The 10898-nt window shown below is 47.6% G+C and overlaps 1 annotated feature.

The window, feature by feature from the left end:
- Window positions 1-100: a silencer, noted in NCBI's record as "silent region_3788". NCBI's record gives its function as "represses an Ori minimal core promoter by ATAC-STARR-seq in GM12878 lymphoblastoid cells {active_cell/tissue: GM12878}" and the evidence as "EXISTENCE:reporter gene assay evidence [ECO:0000049][PMID:35858748]".

Below are 10898 nucleotides of genomic sequence, written 5' to 3'. Positions count from 1 at the left end.
CAATTATTGGAGCCTTGGTGCCCTCTGCTGGATAAAGACTAAAATACCAGCCTGATGAGAATTGAACACTGAGAACACATGGACACAGGAAGGGGAACATCACACACCAGGGCCAGTCGTGGGGTGGGGGGAGGGGGGAGGGGGGAGGGATAGCATTAGGAGATATACCTAATGTTAAATGATGAGTTAATGGGTGCAGCATACCAACATGGCACATGTATACATATGTAACAAACCTGCACGTTGTGCACATGTACCCTAAAACTTAAAGTATAATAAAAATAAAAATAAAAAATACCAGCCTGAGACCACACTGGACAGTAATGTCTATTTCACATCCATCCATCATCATCCTTGCATTCGCTTATCCACCTACCGATCCATCTGCCTTCCATCCACCCATCTAGTTTTCCATCTACTATGGTTCGAATGTGTCCCCCAAAGTCTGTATGTTGGAAATTTGATCCTCAATGTGGAGATATTGGGAGGTGAGGCCTTAACAAGATGAGGCCTTAGCTCATGGGGGCTCTGCCCTCATGAATGAATTAATGCCATTATCATGGGAATGGGTTGTTATTATGAGTTCCTTATAAAAGAATGAGTTTGGCCCCCTTTTGCCTCTCTCTCACCTGCATGCTCTTTCTTGCCATGAGATGCCTTCCACCATGTTGTGCTGCAGCAAGAAGTCCCTCACCAGATGCCGGCCCCTCAGTCTTGCACTTTTCAGCCTCCAGAACCATGAACCAAATAAATTTCTGTTCATTCTAAATTACCTAGTCTGTGATATTCTGCTATAGCAGCACAAAATGAACTAAGACACTATCTGTCCATCTACCCATCTATCTATCCATCCATCCATACACCCATTTGTCCTTTCATCTATCCACCCACCTGCCCATCCATCCATCTGCCATCCCTACATCCACTCATCCATCCATCTGTCCATCCATCCATCTCAATTTTACTCATGTCCTGTAGGCATCATCCTCTCTCTCACTGCAGCATCCCCAGCTCCTCCCCTGCACTAGGCCCTGCAGAGGCCTCAGTGAAAGAAACAAGAAAGACCTCCCCCAACCCATGTGTCCCTTTCCTCTTGGCAGAGCACCTTCACTTCCATTATATCCTTTGTCATGACAGACACTCTAAGGAGCCTTGGGATTCCCATTTAACTGGTGAGGAACTGAAACCCAGAAAGGCCAAGGAGCATGATGCAGTAGAAATAGTCTTTGGGGACAGAGTGACCAGTTTCAAATCAGGGCTCTGTCATTTACTGATTCTGTCACCCTGAGCAAGAATCAGCTCTCTGAATCCCAGTTCCTCATCTGTAAAGTTAACTAATTCAGCATGTATTTATTGTGTATATACTATGCACTAGGCTTGGCTTTGGGGGTACAGCAATGAACAGGGCAGGAAAGGCCATTGTTCGTCTGAGCCTTACGCTGTAGAGGTTCTAATGAGGCTCCAGTGAGATGAGACTATATTCCAGGGCCATAGACAAGTGCTACTTATGTCATGTCATTGTTATTACCTATGTAAGAAAAAAGTTTGGAAATGCTTTCCAGTAAAAAGAAAAGTTGGGGAAATGGTTGACACTATTTTTATTTTTTATTTCTATTTTTTGATATGGAGTCTCGCTCTGTCACCCAGGCTGGAGTGCAATGGCATGATCTTGGCTCACTGCAACCTCCGCCTCCTGGGTTCAAGCAATTCTCCTGCCTCAGCCTCCTGAATAGCTGGGATTACATGTGCCCACCACCACACCTGGCTAATTTTTGTATTTTTAGTAGAGACGGGGTTTCACCACGTTGGCCAGGCTGGTCTCAAACTTATGACCTCAGGTGATTCGCCCGCCTCGGCCTCCCAAAGTGCTGGGATTACAGGCATGAGCCACCACGCCTGACTGACATTATGTTAATTAAAAAGCAGAACATATTGGAGTTGAAGGCATGAATTTTGGAGCTAGAGTGCCTGGCTCTAAATCCCAGCTCTGCCACTTCAGAGCTGTGTGATCTTCGGCAAGCAATAACCCCTCTGTGCCTTGGTTCTCTCATCCACCAAATGGGGTTAATAATTCAACATATACTTATTGTATATCTAATATATGCCAGGCAGGGTCCTGGGGACCCAGTGATGAGCAAGACAGGGAAGGCCTGTCCCGTTCATAGGAGTGTGGCAACTGAATGAGTGCAAAGCACCTGGGACAGTCCTAAATGAGACATGAACTGGGTGTTTGCAAAGGCTCTGTGGGTGTGATTTACTTGTGTTGTATGTTTGTTGCTGCTGCCTGACTACCTGGGGCTGACAACGGGAGCGGGGCAGGCTTTTCCTGTGGGCAAAGAGCTCAGAACAGCGACCAGAGTGTGGAGGTTGGAATGAGGCTGGTTTCCCAACTCCAAGGATAGAAGCCTGCAGGCTGAGCGCTCCACAGCAGGGAGCAGTGAATGGCTCAGCAGTGGACGTGTGCAAGCTTGAGTGGAGATACCACAGGGACCTGCTGTCCTGTCTCAGTGGTGGCATGGAGGCCACTTAAAACTCCTTCCACGGTGAAGGACTTCCATTTTCCTGGGGAACAGACGGAGTGGCCTTTAACACCCTTGATGGGCCTTTAATACCCCACCAGCCAGGACAGTCCTGTCTCCTGGTAACACTCACCAGAGCAATGGCCCTCTGTCTGTGACTCAGTCTCTGCCAGGACCTAGGAGCTGGTGGCTGGCCTTCCCCCCAATTCCTGGGACTTGCCTCCTGGTCCTAGCCAGGCCCTGCACTCTACAAGTTGCTTTGGAGAAGTGGCCCCAGCTGATGCTGTATGGCATAGAGACAAAGCTTCCTTGTCAATCCCTGCCCAAATTGTAGATTCATGAGCGAAATCAACAATAGTCAATGTGCTAAGCCTTTAAGTTTGAGGTAGTTTCCCATCATCAGATAACTAGAGCATAACACCATACTCTGCTGCTCTCCCCAGGAATTCAAAGAGATAAGATGCTTCTAGGATGTACGTCACATGACTTGCACAAGCTACGTCACCTTGTGTAAGTTATTCACCTACCCTGAGTCTCAGTTTCCTCATCTGTCAAATGGAGACAACAATAGTAACATCTCAAAAATGCAGACGAAGCCATGAACTCTCCAGAGCCCCCTGCTACCTGCTCTTTGTCTTTAGGGTAAAATCTAAACTCCCAAGGCTGGTATTTAAGGCCCTCTTTTATTTGGCCCCTGCCAACCCCTCCAGCCTCATCGCCTGCCATGTCCCAGCCTCAGGAAACCAAGCATTTGCTTTTCCTGGCATTCTCCATGCCCTTGTGCCTCCAGACACTTGCTGATGCTGGTCCTGTTGCCTGATATGCCTTCCTCTCCTATGTGCCTGACGAGTGGCTATGGACACTCGAGACACAGTCAGAGGACACCTCCTTCTTGACAGCTTCCTTGTCTTTACCCCACGCACTTAGTCTCCTCTTCTGGGCTCCGTGCACACCTTGTATTTTCTTCTAGCTGAGCTGTTATTGCCACAGGATTTTATAGAGGCAGACACCAGACAGTGGCCCCTTCAGGCATGGAAACCATGTCTCACTTGCAGGGCTAGGCACTCAGGAAAAAATTGGTTAAAGGGTTAAGTTTGGGCAAATGAGCCCTGGTGAGATCAGAGCCCTAAAGGCCTTGGGAACTGGGTGGACAGCAGGGTAGAATGTTGGTGTTGTGGCCCTAGCCAGTGGTATCAGCCGTGCGTGGGCCACTGTGTTGGGGGTCTCTCCTGAGTTCTCTGGGTTTCCAGTGGGGGAGGAGCCAAGCCAGGAAGATGAACAGATTCCAGAAATAAGGTCTCTTCCAGATTAACAAAGACCTGGGGCCAGGCCTGCCTGTCACCTTTGTGTCTTGATATCCACGTTCCTTGCAGGAAAACAGCCCACACCTGCATGTACCTTGCAGCTTCTAGCCTCTGCACACTTGCCTGTGTCACTCCTCTCTCCTCGGATGCGCTTGGAGGAACCTGCTCCTGGGAAAAACCTCCCCTTCCCGAGGCCCTGCCCCTTGACTCTCCCAGGGAAAGTGGTTGTGCTGAGGTCTTCCCTTTGCCCGTCCAGATCCACTTTCCACCCTCACCCGCCCTTTCTGGGCGCCAGGAGCTGACGTGTATGAACAACAGCAATGGGTCTCTTGTCCCTGGATTCAATTGAGTTTGGCCAATGAGAAGCCCTAACAGCACATCAGAGGGAGGGAGGACACAGGATCGGGCTTCTAGTTCCCTGAGTCCCTCCCTGTACGGACGCTGCAATCTAGTTGTGCCCTTTCACCAAAGTCATTGCTCCTGTCAAGGGAGCCAGCTTTCTTCGCATCTCCTGAAAACTCCCTCTCCTCAGACCTTTGGGCCTGGGGAGGCAACAGTTCTGCCAACATTAGCCTTGAGTCACTGCAACATTCTCTATGGTGTCACTACCCCCACCCTTATCATCGCCCTGTGTGAACAGTTTCTCTAGAATTGTCCTAATTTGAGTGTGCCCTCAGTTTCTGCTGGACCTGACTAATACCAGAAGCGGCCCTAGGAAACAGACCCTTCAAACAGGATTCTGGAGTTGGGCTGGTTCTGTATTTGTGCAACACAGGGATTATCTCCTTGCTGGGAGAAATAGGATGCAAGCAAGTTATCACTGGTGGGAGCAAAGGCTGAAGTGCAGGTCAGAAGCCAGACCTTGGGCTATGAGGCAGCTTTGGCACTTAGCCTGGTGGCAATGAGACTGCTTGTGAACATGGTGGAGGCTCCTGACTACTTCTTTTGTTTTATTTTGTTTTGACTCTTAGAATCAGATAAGATAAGCAACCTGGCTGTTTCTTACAGCCATGTATATATGAAATATGAAATTTAAAATTATGACCATACAACTGAGAACATGTGACCTTCAGAAGGCTTCCATGACACCTTGAAGGAGTACCTCATGTCCTGTAGGTGCAGGGAAGGTATAACAGGGCACCAAATCCAGGATCCAGCTAAAGGCTGCAGAGTTGTAACACCTCCCTCCTCACAGCCTCTTACACTAAAGGAGGGGCACATATATATGCTTGACACATATGGAAAGAAAACTTCAAACTGTGCTACATGGAAACTCATCCTGAGTCATTATAGTAGAAGGTATTGTCTTTTACCAGGTTCCCAGACTGAGCCGTCCACAGACTCAGAGTCCTTGACTGAGGGGACTCTGTGTCTCTTTGAGGAAATTATTGATCATGACTCTTCCTCCAAGGGGGACCTGTGGTATGAACCAAGGTGACTGTTCTCTGGGGAGGGACTCAGGCCATCCAGAAGGTTACTAGAGACTAGGCCAAAGGATCCCTCTCTCCTAAAGAACAAAAATGCCCGAGGGCCACTGGGAAAGAGTAACAAGGTCAGGGAACACATGCGATCTTGGCCTGAGACCTTCTAATGGAGGGTCTGGTGGGATCATGCATGCATTCTGTGGTTGTCTCCCCAGTTTCAGAATGAATGATGGGAGTAGACATATATAACCACTAATAGAATCCCTATATTTGTTCCCTATATTTGTTTCCTGGCCTGTGGATTGGGGGTTCCATGGGGGAAAGTGTTCCATGGGGGAAAGCTCCCTACCCAGCTCCCCCCTGCCCAGTGAGTACAGCAAAAGCAATCCCCCTCAGGGAATTGCAGAAATTAGTGTCTGCATCAAAGACTTCAGAGAAGCAGGGGTGGTAATTCCTATGACAGCCCCATTTAAATTGCACTCTGACTGGTGCAAAGACCAGCTGGGTCCTACAGAATAATAGTATATTATCACAAACTTATTAATAATTAGTAAATGATGCCAGGCGAAGCTGCCATTCCAGCTATCTTTTGGATCAAGTCAGTACAGCCCCTGACACCTGGTTTGCAGCCATTAGACTGGCAAATATTTTCTTTTCCATTCCTATCAGTAAGGAAAAAGAGGTTTGCAGAACAACAGGATGCCTTTATTTATTGTTTTGTCCCCAGAGCTATGTTACCTCTCTAGTTTGCTAACGTAATAGAGCTCAAAGGGACCTTGGATCCGCTCAGTATTCCACAGAACATCATGCTGGTTCATTATATTGATGTCATTTTGCTAATTGGATCTGGTGTTTAGGAGGGAGCTGGTATTTTAAATATCCTAGTGATACACGCCGGAGAGAAGGAGGTACACCTTGCAAAAATTCAGGGGGCTGTCATATTGGTGAAGTTCCTAGGGGTCCGTGGAATACCTTTTCTAATGCGAGAAGCAAGTTGTGGCATGTTGTACCAAACATCACATAGAAGGGGACATAGTGCTTGGTGAGCCTGTTTGGATGCTAGAAGCAATGTCTTAGGTTGGTGCAAAAGCAATTGCGGTTTTTGCCATAAAAGCATGGCATAAAAGTATGGCAAAAACCACAGTTGCTTTTGCACCCACCTAATAATACCACATTTGGGAGTGTTGATCTATTTATCAGGTAGCTCAGAAATCTGCCAGTTTTCAGCAGGTCCCACGGCAATAAAGGGACTGAACAGCAGATTTGTGCAACTTGCCCTGCCACTGAAACTTATGACCCAACAGACCCCATGGTATCTGTGGCAGACAGAGATGCAGTATAGAGCCTCTTCAACTTCCAACAGGAGAATCACAGCACAGAGCACTAGGCTTTGGGCATAAAACCATATATATTATTTTTTGTGGACAACTTTCATCCACTTGAAAAGCAGTTCTGACTTGCTCCTACTCCTGGTGGAGACCAAATGTGACTATGAATACTGAATGACTGTTCTAGCAGAATGGACCACTGAACCAGGGGCTATCTGATTCCCCGGATCAGAAGATTGGCCATGCATAGAAGCATTCTATGTGGCCAAGCAGATGGCCTAGACTGCCATGGTACCTTCTCTTATTTTTTGCCACTTCTCCTTCAACTGATACCTGATACCAAAACCATACATGGGGAGTTTCTCATTGGCAGTTGGTGGAGGAGGAAGAAGTGTAGGTCTGGTTCATGGGTGGATATCACGGTATGCTGGTACCAGCCAGAAAGGGATGGTAGCTGCATTACCTCTCCAATCAAGGCTGGTCCTGACATACAAGTGGTGAAAGGAAATTTTCCTCTTGGGCAGGATTTCAGAGGGGCACAGCTAGTTGTCCATTTTGTGCTGAAGGAGAGAGGGCCTGTGGTACTTATTTACTTTGACTCATGGGCAGTTGACAATGGACTGTCTGGATGGCCAGAGTCTTGCTATAAACAAGATTGGAAATTGGTGTCAATGAGGTGTGTGGGCAAGCCTCTCAGAGCAGTCACATGTGCTCCACATGAATGCCCCACTAGTGGGCATCTATGACAGAAATCCTCAAGATTAGGTGGACAAGGTGACTTGTGGCTATCAGTCAGCTTCTTTCCATAGCCCACCCCCCTCCCCGTGCTTACTCAATGGCCGTGTGGCCATGGCATTCAGAATGGAGACTTGCATTGGCTTGACAACATCGGCTTGCACTCATCAAGACCCATCTAGCTGCTTCCACAGCTGAGTGTCCAACCTGCAGATAGCAGAGGCCACTGCTAAGCTCAAAAACCGGCACCACTTCCCTGGGGGGTCAGCCAGTTACTTGGTGACAGTTTGATTATATGAGAGCTCTCCCTTCATAGAAGCAACAATGCCTTTCTTTCTGCTTGTAGAGATAGAAATATAACTGTGTGTAGAGTTGCTTTTCTTGCCTACAGTGCTTTTGCCAGTACCATCGTTCATAGTCTAAGAGTGCCCTATATGTTACTATGTTGTCCTACACGACATTGCCTCTAACCAGGGGAAGCATTTTACTGCAAAGGAACTGAAGCAGTGAGCTCATCTCCCATTGCCCAGAAGCACCTGGCTTGACAGAAATGTGGAATGGTCCATTGGAGAATAGCTCAGTTGCCAAATGAGCTAGGAGATGGCATCCTGTGCTTCCAGGATGCAGTATATGCCTTATACTAGGGGCCAAGTGGGCCATCTTCCTACAGCAGAAGGGATGGGCTGGGAACCAAGGAAGAAAGATAGGAGTGGCCTCTTTCACTATCACCCACAAACTCACTAGAAGAATATTTCCTGCCTGTGCCCGTGGTCTTGGATTCAGTGGTTTGGAGCACCTAGTTTCTCCCAGGGGAGAAACACTCCCTCCAGAGAATGCAGTAATTTTTCCAATGAATTGAAAACTGAAACTATTGTGTGGCCATTTTGGGCTCCTCAGGACTCTGAATCAACGGACAGAGAAGGGAATCACTGTGTAAGCCCAAGTAATCAATCCCAATTATCACAAGGAAATATGGTTGTTGCCTTACAATGGGGACAGGGAGGACCACGACCAGAGCCCCATATACTAACTGGGGAGCCCTTTAATACTCCCTTGCTCAGTCCTGGTCAGTGGTAAAGGGGGTAACCCAATAAAGACCAGACACAGAGGCTTCAGATCCTTCCATCCATACTAACTAATGACACACCCATTCAGTGTGTTCTTTGACCACTGAAATTATGACAATTGTGTAGCAATACGAAAAACACTTCCACAGAGTTATAACATGGCATTATTACCCTTCTTTTTTTAATAGCACCTATCACTTTCAAACACTAAAAATATGTCTACTTACTTATTATGTTTATTTTTTGTTTACTAACACATCTTTCCCTGCCCTGCTAGAAAGTAAGCTCTGCGAGGGGCAAAAATCTTATTTTTTGTTCTTTTAAATTTGTTTGTTGGTTGATTTAGCTCAAGTGTTTAGAACAGTGTCTGAAACATGGAAGGGAGCAAGAGGGAAAACAGGAATTAGGGGTGGGAGGTCGGGGTGGATGGAAGCCTGGCCCCTTGGCAGAACCATGATGAGGACACTCAGTAAACATTTGTTGAATGAATAAAGTGACATGAAGAAAGCAAAAGACAGTAATCCCTTCACTAGGTTGCTATAAAGGTTAAATGAGATGGGTATGCATAACCCTAGCATAGAGTGGATGCTGAGTGCACCTAGTAAAAGCTAACTTTACCTAGATAGGAGAAAGCAAGCGGAAGAGGGAGGGGCTGGAGCCCATGGACTGAGGTCTCTATCTCCACTTAAGTGTTCACCCCAGAAAGGAGTGGCCTCTATTCTAGGTCTTATGTGAAGTGAAGTAAGTCCAGCACAGAAAGACAAATATTGGGTGTTCTCACTCATATGTGGGAGCTTAAAAAGTGGATCTCATGGAGGTAGAAGGTAGAATGATGGTTACCAGAGACTGGGAATGGAAGTGGGAAGAAGGGAAATGAAGAAAAATTGGTTAAAGGGTACACAAATACAGCTATGTAGAAGGAATAAGTTCTAGTGTTCGATACTGCAGCAGAGAAATTATAGTTCACAGTAATTTATTATATATTTCAAAATAGCTAGAGAGAAGAATTTTAATGTTCCCAACACAAAGAAAAGATAAATGTTTGAGGTGATGGATATTCCAGTTACCCTGACTTGATCATTACACATTGTATCCATGAGCAAAGCCCAGACCTACAGTCAGCCCTGCCGCTTACCAGCTCTGTGCCCTTGGTCAAATCACCTAACTTCTCTGGGCCATACTTTATAAGGTGAGGATAATAGTAATGCCTGTCTCCGTGGGTTGTGTGAATGGTGCCTAGCACAGGGACTGGCACACAGCAGAGGTTCAAATAAACTAAGGGTTTCTTTAGTGCTTGCCCATCCTTCCTCCTGGGAGCTGCCCCCAACCAGGTCTGGAGCTGTCCGGAGTGCTGAAGACCTCTCCTCTCTTTCTCCATCCCCCTCTATGTGTCTCTCTTTATTTTATTCCCTTCTTCCTTTCTGCTTGTGGCTCCCCAGAGCACTGGGGTCTGAACAGATCTAATTTTCCAAGTGCCTTATTCAGGCTCCTGAGAGGGACAGATAGGGAATGAGCCATGTAGGAGGCTCTTCCCAGGGAGCAGGGTCTGAAAGTCACAGGCAGAGGAGTGGTGAGCGTACAGGCTGTTGGGGGAAAGGACCCCCTCAGGCCAGAGTCTACTCTAAGAGCTTGACATCTAAGGACCCTGTTGCAGGAACCTTAGGGCCTACCAACAGGCAACAAGTCAGCTCCAACAATGCAGAGTTGCAGGTCCGTCTGTGGGGAGCTTGCTCGGGAAGAAGGTAAGAGGCACCAGGTTGAAGGACAGAAGGATGACCCTTGGCTGCAGGGGCTGCAGGGCCCCTGACTATGACAGGAATCCCCCATCCCCCTTCCCCAGGTTCCTGTCACCTTCCCTATTTTGGTCATTCATGTGTTAGTGCAGCTAAAGGCATCTTCAACTTTTGGAGATTATGGGGCTGTGGAGTTGACTAATTCGAGGAGCTTGGCTCTATGAGTCAAGCAGTCTGTGGCTAATCCTTGGGGCCCATCTCCCTGAGTCTAAAAATACAAATGGTCTCTCCCCAGGAGGGTGGCACATTAGTCTATTGTGCCCAGAGGTGGAGGCACTAGAGGCTCACACACTCTTGGGAGAAGGGTTGGGAGAGGAGATGTGGCCAGCCTAAGGGACAAAAACCACCTGTCTCTGGATTTTTGTAAACATGTAGAACATCAGACCTGAATGATCTTTGGAAACCTAAATGTCTAAGCCAAGCTCTCCCTGTACAGCTGGGAAAACTGAGGCACAGAACGGGTTGTAGACTCTGTCCCATAAATCAGTGGCAGAACTGGGATTAAAAGCAGCTCCTGCCTTGGCCCAGTGCTGGCCTGCTAAGATCTTCAGCCCTCTGTGAGCCCCTGCTGGCCATCCACTGCAGAGTTCTCCGGATACTGAGCATGGCCAGCAAGACCTCAGGCCAGGGGAGCCTGCTGCAGCTTTGTGGGACTGAGGGCTACCCATGCTCCTTTCTGTGCCTGTCTCCTTATCTGTACACAGAGGAATTGATTTAGAGGTTTATAT

The sequence above is a fragment of the Homo sapiens genome, chromosome 11, assembly GCF_000001405.40.
Source record: "Homo sapiens chromosome 11, GRCh38.p14 Primary Assembly".
Classification (NCBI taxonomy): domain Eukaryota; kingdom Metazoa; phylum Chordata; class Mammalia; order Primates; family Hominidae; genus Homo; species Homo sapiens.
Note: the sequence above shows the minus strand (reverse complement) of the source record. Positions and strands in the feature narration are given on the sequence as shown.